Here is a 24,123-nt window from a genome sequence, read left to right on the forward strand (position 1 = left end):
AATACCTTTGAAATATTCATAGACTTAGAAACAGTAATTTGCCTCACCATGAATTTATTCTATGGGCTAATGAAATGTACCCACAAATATTTCTTTCTAGGTGTCTTCATTACGTTATTATTTGTAAAAATACTGTGTATCTCCTGAATGGTCAAAATAAGGGATAATTAAAATGTTCAATGTGTTTATTTCATGCAGTGGATTGTACATATTCATTATACTCTACTTTCCTGAGCAATATTTCATACATTAAATAATCTCATAATTCATTTTTGATGGGAAAATTATGGGACAGAGTAGGGCTTATATAATATTATAAAGAGTTTTAATTTTTTGTATTGCCAAAACCAGGGGAAGATACACCAAAATACTAATTTCAATGTAAGTATTATTTTTAATTTCAATATATTTGCCCCAAGAGAGGGTGAAAATTCCCAGGGACATTACAAAGATAAAGGTAAGGCTAGAATAAGTAATATGTTAGGGATTTTATTGTATTTCCCCAAATGTATGTGTTGTAGTCCTAACCCTCACTACTTCAGAAAGTGACTGTCTTTGGAGATAGGGTCTTCAAAGAGGTAAAGTTATATTAACAATGAGGTCATTAAGGTGGGCCCTACTCCTTATGACTGATGTTTTTATGAGGGGAGAAAATTAGGACAGAGACACATATTAGAGAGGAAAGACTGTGAAAACACAGAGAGAAGGCCATTTACAAGCCAAGGGGAGAGACTCCAGGAGGGAATAACCCTGCTAACACCTTGAGTTCAGACTTCAAGCCACAAGAACTTGAGAAAATAAACTTCTGTTGTTTATGTCCCTCAGTCTTTGGTACTTTGCTATGGCAACCTTGGCAGAGTCATATAGAACATAGTCACTAAGTAAGAAGATAAGAATGACTGGAATTTGCTAATAATGCAAACTATAAGGTCTATATGAAAGCAGAACTATCATTCACAAAACTGGGAGGACTTCACCATTACCCATTTTTCAAGACTTAATCTTTTTTCTTTCTCAGTCTTGTGACTGCTTCTCTTCCATTTGGCCTGATTGTTCTTTTGCAATGTCTCTCCTTCTTCAAAAGTTTGAGGTTTGAATATGCAACAGCTGATTCTGGACACCAAGGGTTTTTAAAATCTTGATGATGAAAAAACCAGAAAGCCTTACCACTCTGAGCTTATAAACTGCGTTTGAGATTTTTGAGGTTGACGCTTGAATTTACCTTCAGAGAAGGCAAGTTTATAGTGTTCAGATAATCACTTTAATGGGCTTTCAATTATGAAATGTTCAAGCAAAGTTCCCAATCTGGGATGCTGACTCTCCAGACACCCTGGCTCCAATAAACTAAACTATGCTACCAAATGATATAAGAGACTGACTCTTCATTCATTGTGTCTGTATATCAAGATCCCACTTAGAAATGTTTCTTTTCTAAATATGGTTTTAGACTGCACTTTTTCTAATTATATTTATTATTTCTTGGCAAATGCATTTTGTTTGTGGTCTGGTTCAAGCATTTGAACAAAGGATATTAAGAGCAAAGATGCTGTGTTATATGTGGATTCATGCTCTCTGAGAGACCATAAAGAAGAACCAACTGGGATTTCTGAATTCTACTCCACAATCTACAATTCAAGATTCATGCCTGCTGTTATTTTTATATGGAATAACTCAGACATGGACAAATGTGGTGACATAGAATTCATATGTTCAGATAGATTATGCTCATGAAGCCTAAGGCAGATCCAGCCTCTGTATGCAGAGAACATGGTTTTCTATAAGTGTGCTGGAATTCTCAAGTCCAGTCGTCTAGGAAAGCATACTGTCCTGGGGAGGAAATGAACACTAGGGAGGAACTTAGACTTGACAAGGGAGGTGTACAATTTTCTCTTCCCCCTGGAGAGTTCGGGTACTGAGTTTCAGGTGGGAGAGACTCAAAAATATGCCCTGGGGAACAATAAGATGGCTTTTGTAATAAAGAGAGCCCAAACTGGGTCATAGAAGGGCTTGTGTAGCACAGGGCGGACATAATTTGCCCTTGTTCCAAGTTGTCTATGTGGTAGTTCTGTTTCCATAGGCTCATATTTACTGAGTTACACTCCTGATTCTAGAAAGGGGATTGTGCTGTCAAATAGTATTATATGCACCTAATTGCCAAAGTCCATCCATGAACAGATTTTCCTGAATAATTGAACAGAGACCACTGACCATAAGAGACAATATGAATTGGAGAACACATGTAATGAAATCAGATTCTAGTTTGGTTTTGAAGTATAAATATATTTTTAACCTTGAACTAAGAATCTTGTACTATCTATACTTCCATTCCTAAATAAGTGTCTTGAATAAGATGATCTTTACAGTCAACTATCAGCAGCTAAATTTTCTGGTTTAGTACATCTCACTGAAATATCCGAGTCATCATTTTTGAACCTCAGATATTGCAGTGAGTTGTAAATGTTAAGAGAGGATCATATAGTTTTAATTCTGGGTCTAATTAAAACTATATGATCCTCTCTTAACATTTGCAACTCAGTACAATATCTGAGGTTCAATGTAAGATTAGGAGTTTTCAGTACTTACGGACCTCAGGGGGTACACTTCATGCCTAAAATCCACGTACGCAAAGGTCAGGGAGCACAGGCAAAAGGAGAGAGAGTGTGGGGCAACTAGCAGTCTAGATGGGGGAATGGGGTGTGGGTCACCTTAAGTTTGAATGCAGGATCTGAATGGTCCATTAAAAGGAAGTGGTGGGAAATTGGGAAGCCCAGTCCACCAGGCAGGAGAGATGTCTCTAAGTTCCTATCTCTGGACACCTGCTCAAGCGATTTGAGTGTAGTATAGAACTGAAAACTTTGTCAAGGGTGACTGAGTCCTGTCTCTGTTACAAGAAGGCTAAATAAACTTGCATTTAAAACAGATGCTGAGGCAATATAATATTATGAGCTTTCACTACAACTAGGTATAACTTAGGTACTAAAGTGACTGAAAGTATTGGTGCAAGTTCTAAAACTGAGCACTACTTCTTTGTGGTCACCATTGAAGTCATGTTGGTCTTAACACCAGGAACCCGAAAAAATGGAATTCCAAACCTTCATTTTAAAAGTAGGGGAATCAGGTCAATGGCGTGTTTTTCTTGACACCCATGGTTCTAAAGGACCCCGTTACCTCCTGGACCTTCCTAATCAGCAGTAATGTTAAAAAGTTGCAAAGAGATCGTCTGTGCATCATATCTGCCTTCCAACCTTGAGTGAAATCCCATGATTGATTAGGTAACTAATTCTCTCCTAGTGCCAAAGCTTCAAAGAAGCCTCAGAAAGAGTTTTACTTTTCTAACTTCTCCAAATGAAAGATGCAGTGCAGGTTGAGGGCCAATCCAAATATCAACAACAAACCAAAAAAATCAAAACATTCATAATCAGCATTGTTTTAATCAAAGAAAACACTTCAGAAAAAAAAAGTCACAAAACAACATTCTTCAAATCAAAATATTTGATTTAATGAAAATATTAGTGACAAGAAACATTCAAAGAATGTGAAGTTCACTCAACTGAAATAGTTTACAATGTCTTTTGGCTTTTTTACTAGCTTTAGAGAGACTGAATTTTTTATAAAAAATAACTCTAGGAACAAATCTCAATTTCTTATTAAGTTACCTGTCATATTGATCCAAAATCTGTAAAGATATTGAGGAGTTGGCTTTTTTAAATATTAAAAAAAGAGGATTCCATGGAAATTTTTCCCTTTAAAGTTTATAACAATTGTCTATGTTTTGTCATTAATTTATTTATTACTTGAAAATATTAAAACACTTTTATGATGTATTAGTCTGGTCTCATGCTGCTAATAAAAACATACCCAAGACTGGGTAATTTATAAAAGAAAGAGGTTTAAAAGAATCACAGTTCCATATGGCTGGGGAGGCCTCACAAAAATGGTGGAAAGTGAAGGAAGAGCAAAGGCATGTCTTACATGACAGACAAGAGGGTCATGTGCAGGGGAACTCCCTTTTATAAAACCATTAAATCTCATGAGACTTATTCACTATCAGGAGAACAGCATGGGGAAAACCTGGCCCCATGATTCAATTACCCCCTACTGGGTCCCTCCCATGATATGTGGGGATTATTACATTCAAGGTGAGATTTGGGTGGGGTCACAGAGCCAAACCATGTTATATGAATTAAAGGAAATTCTTTCTGGTTTTCCAATGTAGTTAGCCCTCCATATATGTGAGGATTTGTTCTAGGACCACTGAATATTCCCAAATTTGTGGATGCTCAAGTCCCTTAGTTGGCCCTTCATATCTGCAGTTTCTGCCTCCAAGGATTCAACCAACAGCAGATGAAACATGCAGTAATTCATGACATATTTTCAAACACAGAAGCTCTAGAAAACTAAATTTTTGTTAATTGAAACTGAGAATGTAGAAGGCCGACTTAATTTATTTGCTTTACGAAACATTAGTATATTGTTAGTGATTTAAATCAGTTTCCTGCAAATCTTTCAGGTGAGTAACACAGTTTCATTGCTGAATACTCTTACGTGCTACATTTTAAGAGCCTCTTGTGTTATACATTTTGTGTTAGTCCATTTTGGATTGCTTTAAAGGAATATCTGAGACTGAATACTTTATAAAGAAAAGAGGTTTATTTTGGCTCAGGATTCTGCAGGCTATACATGCATGGTTCCAGCATCTGTACCTATTCTGGTGAAACCTCAGACAGCTTTTACTCATGGCAGAAGGTAAAGGGGGACCCAATGTGTCACACTGAGAGAGAGCAAGAGAAAAGGAGGTGCCAGTCTCTTTTTAACAACCAACTCTTTTGTGAGCTAATAGAGTGAGAACTCACTCATTACCACAAGGATGGCACCAAGCCCTTCATGAGGGATCTGTCCCAATGACCCAAACACCTCCCACTGGGTCCCACTTTCAACACTCAGGTTCACATTTCAACATATTTGGTGGGGACAAACATCCAAACTACATCACTTTTGATGATCCATCATAAAATCTTATATATACATATTTAAATATAATCATATCTTAAATATCAGTATATGCTCTGAAATTTTGACAGAATGTTATGTATTTGTTTCTTTTGAAATTACTATTTGAACTATAAGTGAGTTCCATTTAATTTGTTTGGTATTTACTTCCCCAAGATTATCATATAATCTCGAGAGTTCATGTAGAATCAAATACAATCTCATTTTTAAATACTATAAATCCATTTTTACTTTTAGCTTCATAATTAACCAATTTCTTATGTTATAAATATAGATATTTAATTAAAGTTGTGTTCATTTCAATCTTCTGATGGTGTGTAATCAATTGGGGCTTGTTTTGTTTTGTTTTTGATCATCTCAAGTATTCCTGTAGGCTCCTGAAAAGCGTTATGGAGCTGTTCACTAAGGTTACGGTGCCAACCAAAACAGCCTGATTTTAAAAGTGGTTTGAAATGCCTAGCCCCTGAGAATGCTTCCCAGCACACATGGCTGCTGGTGTCTTCGTTTTCCTCTTCATTTTGTCTTTTTCCCACCCAGAGAATAAATATATTAGTTATGCCTGTATTATGGTCCATAGTTTGCATACATTAATCATCTTGTATAACCATCTCTCCCCAAAAGATAGTGTATTACATATTGTATTCATATTCCAGGGATGCTGTCACAAAGTATCACAAATGATGTGGCCAAAACAACAGAAATTTATTATCTCACATTTCTGTAGGCTAAAAGTCTGAAATCAAAATATCTGAAGAGCTGGTTCCTTCTGAAGGCTGTGAGAATCTTTTCCATGCTTCTCACCAGCTTAGCTTCCAGTGGCTTGCTGGCAATCTTTAGCATCTTGGCTTTTGCTGTATCACCCTGATCTCTGCCTTCACCTTCACATGGTGTTCTCCCTGTGTTTATGTGCCTGTGTCCAAGTCTTCCTTTTCCAGGACATCAGTTATGTTGGACTAGAGACCCACCCTACTACAGTATGATTTCATCTTAACTAATTGCATCTGCAACGACTATTTTCAAATAAGGTCACATTCTGAAGTAATGGGAGTTAGGACTTCAGCATACAAATTTTAAGAGGGATACAATTCAACCCCCAGCACATACATTGGATTCTCATTTTTTAAAATTAATGGCCTCTGTACAATGAATGTTTATTTCAATCTAGTAACTCAGGAAAAAGGCCTCTTTCAATGTCAGTATTAGCAATAGGTAGCATAAAATAACCAGTGTACTCTGTTTGGCATCCTTTGCTAAGATTTTTCTCCTCAAGCCAATATCTTGTGTCTGGTGGATTTGGGAGGCAGAAGGGATACAATATCTCATCTTCTTTTGTACCAAAGCGTATTCATATTTCTGCTTGTTTTATTCTATATTTTTCATGCTCTTTGACATTAGAACATTATTTCTTCTTCTTCTTCTTTTTTTTTTTTTTTTCTGTGTCTTGTTCTTTCTCTGAAGCTTTTCCACCACTAGGAATGTTGTACATTAACATGGGAAAGCCCAAATTAAAGGAAGCTAGTGGTTTGGCAGTTTAAAATAGTTTAGAAATAGTTTTGCTAAAATTTATTTCCACTGTCATGTTTTAACTTGTTTTAATAGACTGAATATATCATTTTATTAGTTGTAGAGCAGCCTGTGAATATTTACCTGTCGGTTAGGTGCATCTATTACAGGGAACACAGAGGAGAGATTCTTTAACTTTAGGGCGCTGTTCATTTGCTGAGAGTGGGTTGGTTAAAACCCAAGTTTGGCTCACGTTAGTGGAAAGTCACTCAGTGGTAAGAGGGGGAGAAGGGTGTTCCTATTTCCTTATCTGTGTAATGAGTATTTAGTTTCCGTGGTCATTGTAAGCTCACATCGATAACAATTCTGTTGTACCAGAGTTCTACTTTTTATCCAGCCTTCTGGCAGCTGTCCTTTCATTTTGCTTTCTTAAATGGCACATTGACATGCTGATTTTGGTTTTGGGTGGGCCTAGGTTAAAATGGGAGCTTGGTAACTCTATCACTTGTGTTGCTTAAAACTTTTGCAGTTTCAATTTCCTCAAGCACCAAGTGGAGATACTAGGATTTATCCTACCATTTTATAGCAGGGAGGATTAAAACTAAGTAAGATGGCATATGGAAAATATAAAGAGCGGTGCCTAATTTCCACTTATTTGAGAAAAATAATTCATCTTGAGATATTTGATAATTTCTTTCTTTCTCATTAAAATTTGGCTATTTTGCCATATTTTATCGTGTATTAGTATTGTTTTAATTTTTGTGAGTACATATAAGGTATACATATTTATGGGGTTCATGAGACATTCTGGTCAGGCATGAAATGCATAGTAATCATATCATGGAAAATTGGATATCCATCCCCTCAGGCATTTATCCTTTGTGTTACAAACAATTCAGTTATACTCTTTTAGTCATTTTCAAACGCACATTTAAAAGATTACTGACTATAGTCCCCTATTGTACTATGAAATACCAGGTCTTACTCAATCTTTCTAACTATTTTTTGTACCCATTAACCATTCCATCTCCCCCAACTTCTGCATTACCCTAACCAGCTTCTGGTAAACATTTTTCTGTAATCTATCTCCATGAATTCAATTGTTTTGATATTTAGCACACACAAATAAATGATAACATGGGATGTTTGTCTTTCTGTGTCTGGCTTATTTCACTTAACATGATGATCTCGAGTTCCATCCCTGTTGTAACAGATGACAGGATCTCATTCCTTTTTATGGATAAATAGTACTCCACTGTGTATATGTACCACATTTTCTTTATCCATTCATCTGTTGATGGACACTTAGGTTGCTTCCAAATCTTGGCTATCATGAACAGTATTGTAACAAACATGGGAGTGCAGACATCTCTTCAATATAATCATTTTCTTTCTTGTGGGTACATCCCCAGCAGTGGGACTGCTGGATCATATGTTGGCTCTACTTTTAGGTTTTATGAGGAACCTCCAAACTCTTCTCCACAGTGGTTGTACAACTTACATTTCCACCAACAGTGTATTAGGGTTTCCTTTCCCCCTTATCCTCACCTGCATTTGTTATTGCCTGACTTATGTATAAGAGCCATTTTAACTATGGTGAGCTGATATCCCATTGTAGTTTTGATCTGCATTTCTCTGATGATCAATGATGTTGAACATTTTTTATATGCCTGTTTTCCATTTGTAGGTCTTCTTTTGAGAAATGTCTATTCAAACCTTTTTTTCCATTTTTTAATCAAATTATTAGCTTTTTTTCTATAGAGTAGTTTGAGCTCCTTATATATTCTAGTTATCAATCGCTTGCCAAGTGGGTAGTTTGCAAAGGTTTTCTCCAGTTATGTGGATTGTCTCTTCACATTGTTGATTGTTTCCTTTGCAGTGCAGAAGCTTTTTAACTTGATGTGATCCCATTTGTCCATTTTGGCTCTGATTGCCTGTGCTTGTAGGGTATTGCTCAAGAAATTTTGGCCCAGGACAATGTGTTGGAGAGTTTCCCCATTTTTTTTTTTTTGTAGTAGTTTCATAGTTTGAGGTCTTGGACTTAAATCTTTAATGCACTTATATTTGATTTTTAAATAAGGCAAGAGATAAAAATCAAGTTTCATTCTACTGCATATGGATATTCAGTTTTCCCTGCACCATTCGTTGAAGAGGCTGTCTTTTTCCCAATATATGTTCTTGGCTCCTTTGTCACAAATGAGTTTACTGTAGATGTGTGGATTTATTTCTCAGTTCTCTGTTGTGTTCCAATTGGTCTATGTGTCTGTTTTATGCCAGTACCATGCTGCTTTCATTACGATAGCTCTGTAGCAGAATTTGAAGTCAGGTAATGTGATTCCTCCAGTTTTGTTCTTTTCACTCAGGATAACTTTGGCTATTCTGTGTCTCTCATGATTCCATGTAAATTTCAGAATTTTTAAAACAATTTATGCAGAATATCATTGGTGTTTTGAGGGGGTTGCATTGAATGTGTAGATTGCTATAGGTAGTATGCACATTTTAACAATATGGATTCTTCCAACCCATGAACGTGAAATCTCTCTCCATTTTTTTGTGTGTCCTCTTTAATTTCTTTACTCACTATTTCATTGCTTTCATTGTAGAGATTTTCACTTGTTTAGTTAAGCTAATTCCTAAGTATTTAATTTTATTTTGGCTATTTTAAATGAGATTACTTTTATATTTCTTTTTCAGATTGTTCCCTGCTGTCATATAGAAATGCTACTAATTTTTGTATGTTGATTTTTTTATCCTGCAACATTACTAAATTTATCAGTTGTAGTCATTTATTTGTGGAGTCTTCAGGTTTTTCCAAAAATAAGATTATATCATCAGCAAGTAAGGATAGTTTGACTTCTTCCTTTCTAATTTGGATGCCCTTTATTTCTTTCTCTTGTTTGGTTGCTCTAGCTAAGACTTTCAGTACTACGTTGAATAATAGTGATGAAAGTGGGCATAGTCGTCGGGTTCCAGATCCTAGAGGAAAGAATTTCAGTTCTTCCCCATTCAGCATGATAATTCTTGTGTTTGTTTTAGATTTCCAATCCAAGTTCCGTTCACAGTGTGGAATTTTTTCTTCTGTTATGCTATTGATTATCATTTTTGATGTGTATTCTGTTTCTATCTTTTAAATTACTTATTGTTTGCAGATTATTTCTTTGTGATATATTTTTCTATATAGCAAATGGTCTCCTTTGTTTCAATTATTTTCTTCTGCTCTGTGACAGGATGTGTCTAGTCTTTCTTCTATTTAATTTGTGTTTTTCTCAATGTTATTTGCTCTATGTATTGCTTCTGAAGGTGATTTTATTGGGCATGCTTGGTTGACTTTCTGGCAGCTATTCCACTACCCCCCATTATGTAGTAGCCATAAGGTTTGTATATTTGATTGATTCTTCTTTTAGTTCCAGGGATGGAATCCGAGTGATCGCTAAGGCAATTCATATATTTTACCCACCTTAGGATAACTGGTTTAGGATTGGACAAACAATCTCAGCTGCTTCAATCAGACTCACTGTAAGTAGTGAAATGGAAAACTCTTTCCTCTTCCGGGCACTGTTAAAGATTTTTTTTTTTCATGTAAACTATGCAACTACTTCAGTTATTTTACTTGGAGAAAACTTAAGCTGAGAACAAATTCTACTTGACAAGGTGAGAAATACTGAGAGAGAAATTGGGAAACCAAACAGAAGCCCTGATCAAGCCTTCCTTGAAGTACAACTTAACTGAAATTTCCAGTCAAAGTATTTTCTTCATAAGGTCAATTACTTTGAATTAGATTTTATTCATTTAAAACTTGCAACGTTTTAACCTATTCACTTTTCTGTGCTGTCTCTACCATTTATTTCCACTGACTTCTTGTCTTTATATGTTATAATTATAATATATTCTTTTATCTAAGTAAAAACAGATGATAGTCATTTCCTAAATCTAAACATTTCCTATGAAAAATCTTTGGGATAAAATTGCACATTTCCTTTCACTCTTTTATAGCATTTTCATAATTGTGTAATATTTCAACCATTTTCTTTTTATTCATATTTACAAAAGGTTAACAAGAGGTTTTTATCATGCTTGCTCATGGCAAGGGGCCTCTACTCGGCCCACTGCACTCAACCCTTTGCAAAAGGGAGCACGTGAGCAAGTGAGTATGGGATCTGGCCAGCCGTTCCAGGTACTGACACAGTATCATGCTCTGTGCAGGGCCCGTGGCCAGACCAGGAGTGTCACCCTGAGGGGAACATGGTGGCTCCCAAGTGAGGATGCCCATGACCCCAAAGCCCCAGAGCGGGTGTTACAGTTCTCTATTAGTTCCACTGTTCGTGGATAGTGGTGTGTTGGCAGCTCAGTTGGCCCCTTGCCTTGTCACATGGGGTGACTGATCTCTGCTGGCAAAAGCAAAGGGCTGGTGTGACAGTGTTTCTCAGTACCTGTGCTATGTGGGTTCTGAGCTATTGTCTGGCATCCAAGAAGAATGAGGTCACATGGACGGTTGAAGGATGGTGAAGGTGGAGAATTTTACTGAACAATTAAAATGGCTCTCAGTGGAGAGGGTTGCTGGAGAGGAGACTGGAAGGGCAGGTAGTCTTCCCCATAGTTAAGTTGTCTCTTCCCTGAAGTAGGGTTGTTTCCCCATCTACTGACTGAGTCTGGGGTCTTTATAGGCACAGTCTGGGGAGTGCATGCTGATTGGTTTGTGAGTATGCAAAATAGGTTAAAGCAAACACACCACTCAAAGGTGGGCATAACAGTGTAGAAAACCAATTAGGAAAGAGTAGGTATATGTAAAATAGGTAAAGGGTGGGAATCAATCAGAGAAAAGCACGCCAAATGGGAGAACAAGTTCTAAATCTGGTCTGAGGATTAAACTTGTAGCTTGGCTTTCAGGCTTTGGCTTGGAGGTGGGCTGTTGCTGTGTACTCGCCCCTATCTGCCTAGGCACTTGGCTGCCTCCTGTCACTGTCAATGGGTTACAATTATGCCATTTTCCACTTGATTCTTGGACTACTTTTGAAATTGTATGTTTTCATATCTTTGGGGTTTGTTGCCTTTTATTTGCTTTGAAGGATAAAAATATTTTAAGACTTTTCTATTTATTATTTGTATCCCTTAATTATAGAAAGTCTCTGTTGATATTGATTCTTTGTCTTTCAAGTGTTGTAAATTTTTTCTTCACTTATGTTTTCAACTGAAATTGTATTAGTTAACTTTTTTTGCATATTGTAATGTTTTTCTTAAATTTGTAACTTTATAACATATTTTACTTTGTCGACTAGAATTTATAGCTAGAGTTTATTTGTCATAACTGGGTACTTCTTTTTGTATTAAATAAGGCTTTTATTCTAAAGCCACTTCAAATACAAAGGAATAAAACTATTCTTATTGAAATAATTTATAAATGTTATATTCACTGAGAAGTCAAATGCAATAATGATTGTGAATTCAATGCCACATGTGATGTTTTACTTGTGTTCTCTACAAAAAGCTCAGTTTTTTTATACATGTAAATATGGATTATTCAAGTGCTATAAAAGTCACTTGCTTTTGTGTACTCTCGAGTCATTAAAGTTTTTAAGAGTATTTAAAATCCTTTACCTTCTTCACTTTAGATGATTATAAAATTTAAACTTTTAGAAGTAAGGTTTGGTTAGGCAACCCAAAAATTTCAATGGCTTCACAAGACAAATGGTTATTTTTTGCTAGAGCAGTAGTCGAACAGACATCTGATTATTGGCATTAGACAGCTCTCCTGGGCATCTTTTCTCCCAGTGGCAATTTAGGGTTTGAGCCTCTTTGATCCTTTGGCTGACTTGTTCTTTGTCTGTGTAGTCCTTTCATTCAGATGGAAGATGGGAAAACACAATGCTATAGACTTTGGAATATTGTATGGGCTCGTAATCAGCGTACTGAATTTCAAGCCATTCCTTGGCCACTCAATGGCCACTACTAAATCACACAACCCACCCAACTGGAGAATTAAATCAAATATCTGGAGCAATTTAATGTGCATGCATTCGTGGCCACAAAAATGAAGATACAAATAAGTAGGTGATTAATTTTTATTAAAATCTGATGATTTTCTATAGAAATAAATTCAAATCTATTAAGTATATAACTTCAGGCTAGTGTCATAATGCATTCAATTTTTGTCTGCAAAATCTGCTCGTGCACATCTTTGTTCAAAGAACCACTTGCTACTTAGTGACCTTAACTGAAACATTAATTGTTTTGTGTGCCCAAATTTAATAGAACCTGGCTATCAGGGATGATGTCACAAAGAACATTGTTATTGAAATGCCAGGAGTTTGTTCTAGGTCCTGCTGTTCACTAAACAAAAAGCCAATCACTGAGACAATGAGTATTGCCAGGGAAGAAGCCTTTAATTGGGTGCTGCGGCCTGGGAGATGGGAGATCAGTCTCCAATCCATCTCCCTGGCCAACTAAAATTAGGGATTTATGTGACAGGAAGAAAAGTAACCATGTATAGGAAAACAGGAATTAGGGAGGGGTAATGAAGCAGAGTTCATCAATAGGAAGCAGATGGTTGGTTAGTTAATAATGGCAGGCGAGGGATATAACATCTCATTGTCCAGCTGTGTTGATCTGGTAAGTTTCAATTCCTTGATGCTATCTGGGAGGTTTGGTGGCTGGTTTCTTGATAAAGAAACTCACATAAGACAAATGTAACTTTCTCAAGTTTCAAGATGGGACAGTAAATTTCTATGTTTATTCAAAAGAAACCATAAACACCAGTTCTATGGGACAATTGGGTAGGTTTCACCATGACTCATGGAAATTAGTATTAGAGACATTTTGAATATTAGTCACAATAAAATAGTAGTTAATATTTAAGAAGCTGTGCTAAATTCTTTACATTCAATCAAATTGTTTAAGATATAAAATATCTGTACATTTATATCCATATACATAATTATATTTCTATCCATCTATCTACCTATGAAGATAAATGAATAAAGTGATCATATCCTTTTATTTTAGTCTCTGATCATCCTAACACAATCTACCCATTAAACTCAATCTGATTCCCAACCTCTGCCGACTTGTTTATCCTCAGCTGAACCATTGGACTCTCATTTATAGGCTTAGTTCTCTTTCATCCTTATGACAAATGCTCTGGCCATTCAGTAGTAAGATGAGGAGCTCAAATTTACCCCTTGATATTTACAATAATGTTGCCTTAACTTTGTGCTATATTCTAATTCTGCACTAATGCCTATTCCTAGAAATATGGGCTGGACTTCACACCTCACTTCAGTTGACTGGTATTCTGTTTTACACTTTGAGTCTCAGTCCTGGTTTATAACCTCCCTGCTTTTTATTTTATTCTAAACAAGGGGTGACATCTTACTATTTCTGGGTTCCTCTTAGTACTAATTCCCTAATCCTATACTTCCATCTGATGGCTAGGACCTTGACACCCTATGATAATCATTTCTGCTATGATCTTCCTATGTCAAAACGCAACTTAAAGTTGTCATGGTTCATCAGACTAGTGTTTCCCTAAATTGGACCTTACTGATGCCTACTAAAGTCAGCTACCCTGAGAGCTACTTGTGGTCTTAAATTTCTAACTAATAAACTATATCAGGCTCTTGTCCTTCAGGCCTTTCCCTAATCCCAGGTCCTGCCTAATTCTAAACTTTTTCACCCACCATTTTACTCAGTTCTCCTCTTCTTGCTAGGGCCATATGCAGGATTGTGCCAGGTCTCAGGTAAAAATTTTGTGTGTGTGTGTGTGTGTGTGTGTGTATGTGTGCATATTCATGTGTGCATATCTATGAGCATGTGTGTATGTGTTTACTATGTTTGATAATGAACCATTATGCAAGAGACATTAATTTTGTTGCTTTGGCTCACTTCATATATTTATTTTAATTGCATGCTCACTTGAAACAGCTTAACTTTCTTTGGTTGATTTTTAAATTAAATTATATTTTATTGGTTGCAATCACTGTTATCTTCCCTTGTTTGTTTATGGTATTAATGTCGGGCCTTCAAAGAACTGTGGAAATACTAATTATAGTTTGAGCATGCAGATTGGGCCATCCATGCAATTGTTTATTTCCTCAAACATTAATTTACTACTGTGTAGAAAGGTGCCAAAATATTCTGAACCCAGACTAAATGGCTGCATAGCATCTTGTGGGCTTCACTTTGGAAAGCACGGCAGGATCAAAGAGCCAAAATATCTGATTTCTTTCATGTGTTATAGCTCATCTCTAATGACAGAGTGGAGACTTGTCAATATTGCTTCTATTGCCCATTTTGAGTGAACTGATCAAACATTTCAGGCTCAATATGGTCCTGCTAGAGATCTTACTCTAGGAATGCTAGAAGAATAAACATTACACTTCTGAAAATTTTACAAATGTTTGTCAAAGATTTTGTGCTAAAACTGAGGATATACTTACTTGTTTTTGGTTTACTGCTCAGTATAATTATTATTTATAATTTATATCTTCATATCACCTGTTTGGTAAAACTCCAAGCATGTGTCTCTAACCTTTGTCAAATAAAACTGAACTTTCCCCACTTTCACTTAACAAAATAAATCTACATGATCTCTGTTTATGTCTTTAACCCTAGATCCTACTACACTATTCTCTTCATCTCTATTGTTTCTTTCTTTTTTATTTTATTTTATTTTTGAGAGAGAGTTTTGCTCTGTTGCCCAGGCTGGAGTGCAATGGTGCGATCTCAGCTCATTGCAACCTCCACCTCCCAGGTTCAAGCAATTCTCCTGCCTCAGCATCCTGAGTAGCTGGAATTACAGGAGCCCCCCACTATGCCTTGATATATATATATTTTTTGTATTTTTAGTAGACACAGGGTTTTACCACGTTGGCCAGGCTGATCTCTAACTCCTGACCTAAGGTGATCCGCCTGCCTTGCCTCCCAAAGTGGTGGGATTACAGGTGTGAGCCACTGCGCCTGGACTCTGTATTGTTTCTTGATTGTCTCTCTTGAATACTCTCCCTCACAGAATAGGAACAACTGTTTTGGACCCCTCCTCTTAGATATCTCTTCTTGTTTTAATTGCTCATTTTATTAAAAAATAGTTTTAGTCAACATTCTCATTATAATTTTCAATAATACATACTTGGGTTTTAAAATGTTGTTATACATCTTCCACAGTAGACCAAAACGCTCATAAGAGCAAGTCCGTTGGTAGAGCAAGTCCATTTTTTAATCACATAATCACTCTATCCTGAATAATATCAGCATATAATTATATACCAGTGTCTTAAACAGTAGAATATCTGAGCATATTTTAGATATAATAAACGTATTCCTCAGCCAGAGTCCACCTAAAGATAAAAGTACCCAAATTCCTTCCTTCCCTCCACTATCTACTCATGTCCCTGTAACTATTCCTGTCTTCCACATGACCCTCCATGATAAACTATTAAGACTTCCAATCAATCGCTGAAATCACCTGCTGGTAACGTTCACTGGCTGAACCCAACCAGATGCCAGAGAACAAGAGAGCGACTGATTTACCTTTTTTTTTTTTTTTTTTTTTTTTTTTTGCATTTTTCAGTGCTTTATTTACATCACACACAATAAGTTGTGTATATTTCTCAGAGAGAAAAGTCATGGTGAGTTAGACGATACTTCTCAAATTTTGATGTGAACAATAAACTAGATTAATTTGTCCTGCAGAGATTTTTTTCAGGAGATCTGGAATAAAGTCTGAGTTTCTAAATTTCTAGCAAGCTTACCAATAACACCATGTTTTGGGCTCAAGAAGAATATTGTGCCAAACATCGAATAAGTGGAAGAGCCTGGGTTTTTCCCAGTTTTTCTGACCCGTAAACAAAGACGAGAGCCTTCATTTCCAAAGACAGATATGTGCAAAGAAAATTTAAGTAGGAAGGGAAGCTTCCAGATTAAAGGTGACAGTTTATGCACATTATCTGGTAAATCTCCCTAAGATACTTAATAAAGAAGAGAAAAACAATTAACCCTATAATAGAAAAATCTGTCAGAAAGCTCTATGGCTGAGTAAATTTAACATCAACTGTACTAGGACAAATCTTTATCATGTGCTGATTTACACAGAAAAACACAACATCACTGCTCTGATATTGGTCCCCCAAAAAGTAAATTATAAACTAAATTTAATTATAAAGAAACATCAGTTCTATGCAAAGTTCAAAATACAGATGTCTCCCGTGTTCTGTAAATTGTTTAACTTTTATTTTAAGTTCAAAGGTACATATGCAGGATGTACAGGTATTTTACATAGGTAAACCTGTGTCATGGTGGTTGGTTGCAAAGATTATTTCATCACCCAGGCATTACACCTAGTATCCATTAGTAATTTTTCCCCCTTCTCTCCCTCCTCCCATCCTCTGCCCTCCGATATGCCCCAGTGTGTGTTATTCCCCTGTATGTGTCCATGTGTTCTCATCATTTAGCTCCCACTTATAACTGAGAACGGCAGTATTTGGTATTCTGTTTCTGCATTAGTTTGCTATGGATAATGGCTTCCAGCTCCATCCATGTTCCTGTAAACGACATTATCTCATCATATTTTATGGCTGCATAGTAGTCCGTGGTACCATATTTTCTTTATCCAGTCTATCATTGATGGGTATTTGGATTGATTGATGTCTTTGTTATTGTGAATAATGCTACAATAAACATATGTGTGCATGAGTCTTTATAATAGAACAATTTGTATTCCTTTGGGTATCTACTCAACAATGGGATTGTTGGGTTGAATGGTAGTTCAGTCTTTAAGGACTCACCACACTCTTCCACAATGATTGAACTAATTTACACTCCCACCAACAGTGTAAAACAATTCCTTTTTCTCCACAACCTAACCAGCATCTGTTATTCTTTGACTTTTTAAATAATAGCCATTCTTTTGTGAGATAGTATCTCATTGTGATTTTGATTTGCATTTCTCTAATGATCAGTTATTTTGAGCTTTTCTCATGATTGTTTGCCGCATGTGGATCTTTTTTTGAGAAATGTCTGTTTATGTCCCTTGCCCTCATTTTAATGGAATTGTTTTTTTTCTTCCTTGTAAATTGGTTTAAATTCCTTATAGGTGCTGGATATTAGACCTTCGTCAGACACATAGACCAGTGGAACAGAATAGAGAACCCAGAAATTAGATCACTCATCTTCAACCATCCAATCTTCGACAAACCTGACAAAAAGCAATGGGGAAAGGACTCCCTGTTCAATAAATGGTGCTGGGAGAAATGGCTGGCCATATTGTGTCTAGAATTTATTCCTTCCAGTGGGTTCTTGGTCTCGCTGGCTTCAAGAATGGAGCCGCAGACCTTTGCAGTGAGTGTTACAGCTCATAAAGGTGTTGCAGACCCAAAGAGTGAGCAGCAGCAAGATTTACTGTGAAGAGCGAAAGAACAAAGCTTCCACAGCATGGAAGGGCACTTTCCGCTGCTGGCTCAGGTGGCCAGCTTTTATTCCCTTATTTGGCCCCACCCACATCCTGCTGACTGGTCCATTTTACAGAGCCCTGATTGGTCCATTTTACAGAGTGCTGATTGGTGTGTTTACAATCCTTTATCTAGACACTGAGCACTGATTGGTGCGTTTTTACAGAGGGCTGATCAGTGCGTTTATTTTCCTTTAGCTAGACACAGAGCGCTGATTGGTGCGTTTTTACAGAGTGCTGATTGGTGCATTGACAATCCTTTAGCTAGACACAGAGTGCTGATTGGTGCATTTTTACAGAGTGCTGATTGGTGCATTTACAATCCTTGAGCTAGACACAGAGCGCTGATTGCGTTTACAATCCTCTAGCTAGATAGAAAAGTTCTCCAAGTCCCCACTTGACCCAGGAAGTCCAGCTGGCTTCACTTCTCAATATGTAGAAAATTGAAACTGGACCCCTTCCTTACACCACATACAAATATTAAATCAAAAGAGATTAAAAACCTAAATGTAAAACTCAAAACTAAGAAAACCTTGAAAGACAGCTGAGGCAATACCATTCGGGACATAGGCCATGAGCAAAGATTTCATGAGAAAAATGCCAAAGGCAACTGCAAGAAAACAAAAAATTGACAAATGGGACCTAACTAAACTGAAGAACTCTGCACAGCAAAAGAAACTGTCTGCAGAGTAAACAGACCACCTACAGAATGGGAGAAAATGTTTGCACTGATTTACTTTCACAAAGTCAGTTTGTGAAAGAAAAAGAGAACAAGTGGAATTTGAAAGGCAATGGCTAATTTCTTATGCATCAGTGAAGACATTGGAATCCAATAGAGTTGAGTGCAAAGGTGAGCACACTGCTTTCTTGCTGTGTAACTTTGAATAATTAACATAAACGTTTAAGTAGATTTTCTTATACCAGTACTCATCACTTAGGATTGTGATCAGGATGGAAGTATTATGGTCTAAAAGTTCCACATACAACAATACCTGGCATATAATATTTAACAAGTGATAATATACTTATCTTCTCATTTGAATGAATAACTTTTAACCTTGAAATATAAAGGAATTTGCTAGGTCACACTGACTAATTACAAAGGTTAAATTGATTAAAGTTTCTGTACTTAGGTTTGCCTGATAAAATATTTAAAAACTATGTATTTTGGTTTAATAAGCCTGGCTACTGTAGCTGTACTTCAGAGAATTTTATAAAATGTTTCAGAAAGAAGAATGAATTTTTATGTTACCAAATCCATACATACAACACTAGGCACTGGGTGACTGCCTCCATCACAATGCTTAGAATATATTATCCCATAATCAGAGTTCTTTTATATAAGGATGATAGGAAAATAATTGACAAATGCATTTAAATCAATCTAAAAATGTTGGAGGAATAAGAATTCACTAAGTTTATATCAATGCTTATAGAATGAAAATCAACCATTATAAAAGCATTTATTTGTTGTATCTTTTATTTTAAAAGCAATTCATTATAGCTAGACCTAACTAATAAGCAAACTATGTTGCAACTAGGATCAGAATCAACATTGAGCCTAGTCAGTGAAAAGGCACATGAAAATTAAATTTATCAAGAAAAAGTTTGCTTTGCAATGTACTACATAACTGTGTTCAACTTAGAAAATCATTTGTAAGAAACAGCAGATATTTGCCTCGACTTCAGAATATGATCCTTAAAAATGAAATCTGAAACATTTTACATTGCATCCTTGATTTCTGAAATAAATATAATTCAGGATACAACTGTCTTCCCATAAGAATTACTTTCTTAACTTTAACCATAAATTAAAGTGACCAAAGATTGTATGAATCGTATAGCATCGAGATAATGAATAAAATCTTCAACTCTAAGTTGCAAGAAGATGCAAAATATTTTTTTTCCTCTAAGGAGAAGCTGATCACTTACCTTCTGGCTTCTTCTTAATATATTCACATATATTAATTAGCATCAATTTTGAAAATCAAAGTAAATATTTATTTACTATGTGGATGATGGGAATATGAAAACCACAAAGGCTCACCATTACTCTGGCCAATATTCTTATAGTCAATAAACATATTTCCTTGAGAAAACTACAATGGTTACCCCTATTCAAGGAGGAACTATAGAATTTTGAGATATAATGGAAGTTGTAGAGTAGTATTTCATTGAGTAAAGATCTCTTCAAGGGGCAATAATAAGAGAAGCTTATAACATACAAAATAATGATGATGTAGCAACTGAGAAAACTCCTTTAATACTCTGATATTTCTTCCCCCCTTCCTCCCTGCTGCTCTTCTCATTTCTTCATTTTTCATGCATCATTCTTACATTCTCCTTCTGCATCTGCCTTCTTTTCTCTTCCTCTGTGGTTCTGCATGATGTTTCTATTTTCCCTCTTTATATGGCTTACGTATGTTTTGGATGTCTCTTCTTTCTGTTCACATCACGTGTATTTGATTTTCAAAGCCAAATCCAAATAGTAGTATCCTTTTTCTTCTAAATTGAAATAGTGCTTACATGTCCTGACCATTTCAACCCACCTTTTACATTATCATATACCTATCAGAGGCATATATCAGGCTCTCCATCAACTTAGACATTTTTGTGTATACATTCTACAGCTATAGGTATGCAAACACTTCAAAAATATAACTAATCATTGAATTCTGCACAACCCTTAAGCACTTATATTGATTAAAATAAATTTTTGAATAAACAGTTTTGTTCCGAACTACAATTTACAAGTTTCAGAGATTGCAATTAATTTTGCAATTAAATTACTCTTGATTTACACTTACTTTTATTATTTATTACATTGATACATTAGGCTTGCACACATTTATGGGGTACATATGAAATTTTGTTACATGTGTAGAATATGTAATGACCAAGGCAGGATATTTAGGGTATCCATCAGTCTTAGTATTTACAATTGCTATGTTTTTGAAAGATTTCATGTCCTCTCTTCTTGGTATTTTGAAACATACAATTCACTGTTCATGTATAAACTATAGTCAGGGTATTTACTTGCCTGTGTGTACTTGTCTGGTTTTTGTATCAGGATAACGCTGACCTCAGAGAATAAGCTAGAAAGAATTTTCTCCTCTTCAGTTTTTTGTAATAGTTTGAGTATAATTGGTATTGATTTTTATACGTTTGGTAGAATTTGACAGTGAAGCCATCTGCTTGGGGCTTTTCTTTCTTGGGAGACTTTTTATTACTGATTCAATCTTGCTACTTGTTATTGGTCTGTTCAGCTTTTCTATTTCTTCTTGAATCAATCTGAGTAGGTTGTGTATGTACTGGAATTTATCCATTTGCTCTGGGTTGTTCAGTCTTTTTTAACACGTAGTTATTCATAACAGTCTCCAGTGATCTTTTGCATTTCTGTGGTATCAGTTGTAATGTCCCGGTTAGTATTTCTGATTTTGTTTATTTGGGTCTTATATCTTTTTTGATTGGTTAGTCTAGCTAGCAGTTCATTGATTTTATCTCTTTTAAAAGTCAACTTTTTATTGCACTGATCTTTTGTATTGGTTTTTTAGTCTTTATTTCATTTAGTTCTGCTCTGATCTTTATTATGTCTTTCCTTCTACTAATTGTGGTTTTGGTTTTTTCTTCCTTTTTTAGTTTCCTGAGGTGCATTGTTAGATTGTTTATTTGAAATCTTCCTACTTTTTGATGTAGGCATTTATTGCTATAAACTTCACTCTTAGCACTGTTTTTGCTGTATGCTATAGGTTTGGGCATACTGGGTTTCCATTTTTTATATGCTTTAAGAATTTTTTAAAAAAATTTTCATCTTAATTTCTTCTTTGACCCAACGGTTGTTTAAAGCATGTTTAGTTTCCATGTATCTGTATAGTTTTCAATGTTCCTCTTGGCATTGATTTCTAGTTTTATTCCAATGTGGTTTGAGAAAATACTTGATATGATTTTGATTTTTTAAAGTTTGTTGATACTTTTATGTGGTCTAACATATGGTTTATTCTGGAGAATATTCCATATGCTGATGAGAGGAATGTGTATTCTGCGGTTATTGGCTAAAATGTTTTTGAAATGTCTGTTAGGTCTATTTGGTCTATAGTACTGTTTAAGTCTGATGTTTTCTTGTTAATTTTTGTCTAAGTTATTTGTTTAATGCTGGGAGTCTGGTATTGAAGTTCCCAATTATTATTGTATCAGACTCTAGCTCTCCCTTTAGATAGGAATATTTGCTTTATTTATCTGAGTGCTTCAGTGCCAGTTGCATATATGTTTAAGACTGTTATAGCCCCTTGTGGAATGAATCGCTTTATCATTATATAATAACCTTTTTGTTTATTTTTACTGTTTTTAGCTTAAAGTCTGTTTTATTTGATATAAGTATAGCCTCTCTGATATGGTTTGGCTCTGTGTCCCCACCCAAATATCATCATGAATTGTAATTCTTATAATCCTGAAGTGATGTGGGAGGGACCCAGTGGAAGGTAATTTAATCATGGGGGCCGGTTACCCTCATACTGTTCTCATGATAGTGAGTTCTCACAATACCTGATGATTTTACAAGGGGCTTTTTCCCCTTTGGTTTGGCACTTTTCCTTCCTGCATCCATGTGAAACAGGATGTGTTCACTTCCCTTTCCACCATGATGGTAAGTTTCCTGAGGCCTCCCCAGCCCTGCAGAACTGTGAGTCAATTAAACCTCTTTTCTTTCTAAATTACCCAGTCTTGGGCAGTTCTTTATAGCAGTGTGAGAATGGATTAATGCACTCTCCGTTCATATTAATAGCCTTGTGCCTTAACTACTATTACTCTACATCATGGACCCTATGGTTCTGCCATGCCCCCGTGAGGAACTAGGGCAACATAGATGAGCTGTGCAACTCTATTGTTTTTCTTTACTCACTCTCTCTTTACACATGTATTCTATGCAATTCTTGTTTCCTGGTTTAGTAATAAATCAAATTTCAAGTGAAATAAGTCTAATTATTAGTCATGCCAGCTGGCAGACCCAAACATTCTTTGACTGAGTCCAGACCAGCCCTTTGCAATTCATTTTAACTAATAGCACTGCTTCATGTTCTATTTGTTTTATATTACAACTAATAATATCTATGTTCATTGGCTTTTAATTTTATTATAAGGAACCTCATAATTTAGAAATAATTTGAGAAAAATACTAAGAAGCATATCTCCAGGACTAATATTTTGCAAAAGACCAATCCTGTAACTACAACTCTCTATCAGACTTTCCTACTTTCATGTCCAACGTAAGTTAGAAAATAGACTCACATTCAAAATTGTCCTGTATGTTTCTATTCCTTTTCTTCCTCCAGCTTCATATTTTTTTCTCAACATTTTAAATTTTAGGTACTTAAATTCTCCCTCATCTTTGATCACCATAGAATTTTATAAAGTTGGTGGATCATAGAGATAATATAGTCCAAGCTGAAGTCCATAAATATCCTGCATTTACATATTGAATTTTTAGCTTTACAATGTCTACATTAATAACAGATTCTATAGTTTGCTTTTCCATTCCAGTTCTGCTACTATCATAAGAAAATGGCTTTATTTCCTCATACATACCTATTATTGTAATGACCTCTAATTAATGAAGCTTCTCGTTTCCCTTTTAGTGATGAGAATAAAGTGATATTAATATTTTCCTCATGTATGTTTGTTATATGGCTTATCAATTTTTACAAACTTAAATTTAAAATTATCTTAAAAGAATTGCTGGTATGCAATCTTGTTTCTTATATGGGAATATGAAGTGATGATTATGAAGGACCTAGCTGGAAACATTCATTAGTTGACATGTAAAATATAATTTGAATACTTAGTAGAACAAGGTTTTAGTTAGCTGGCCGCAGCTCACCAGGAGTATAAAGTTATTGCTGTGGTCTGAATGTTTGTATCCCTTCAAAATTTCTATGTTAAAACCTAATCACCAATGTGATGGTGCTAAGGAGCAGCACCTTTGGAAGGTGATGGGGTTATGTAGAGAAAGTCCCCATTAATGAGACTATGGTCCTTATCAAAGAGAACCCAGGCACTGCCTTTTCTTTTTCACTATTTAAAGACATGGGGAGAAGGCACTATCTATGCACCAGAAAGAGGGCCCTCCCCAGACACCGAATCTGCTTACACCTTGGTCTTAGACTTCCAAGCTTTCAGAA

General features: G+C 35.7%; 1 long non-coding RNA gene across 1 annotated transcript in view; it reads left to right on the top strand.

Annotated features, from left to right (window-relative positions):
• Positions 1 to 17,758, top strand: part of LINC00113 (long intergenic non-protein coding RNA 113) — a 28,855-nt gene extending 11,097 nt beyond the window's left edge. The window contains exons 2-4 of the long non-coding RNA NR_024357.2: positions 9,918 to 10,029; positions 12,343 to 12,557; positions 17,597 to 17,758. This is a non-coding gene — a long non-coding RNA (long intergenic non-protein coding RNA 113). The remainder of the gene's footprint in view (positions 1 to 9,917; positions 10,030 to 12,342; positions 12,558 to 17,596) is intronic.
• Positions 17,759 to 24,123: the final 6,365 nt, after the last annotated feature.

The sequence above is a fragment of the Homo sapiens genome, chromosome 21, assembly GCF_000001405.40.
Source record: "Homo sapiens chromosome 21, GRCh38.p14 Primary Assembly".
Classification (NCBI taxonomy): domain Eukaryota; kingdom Metazoa; phylum Chordata; class Mammalia; order Primates; family Hominidae; genus Homo; species Homo sapiens.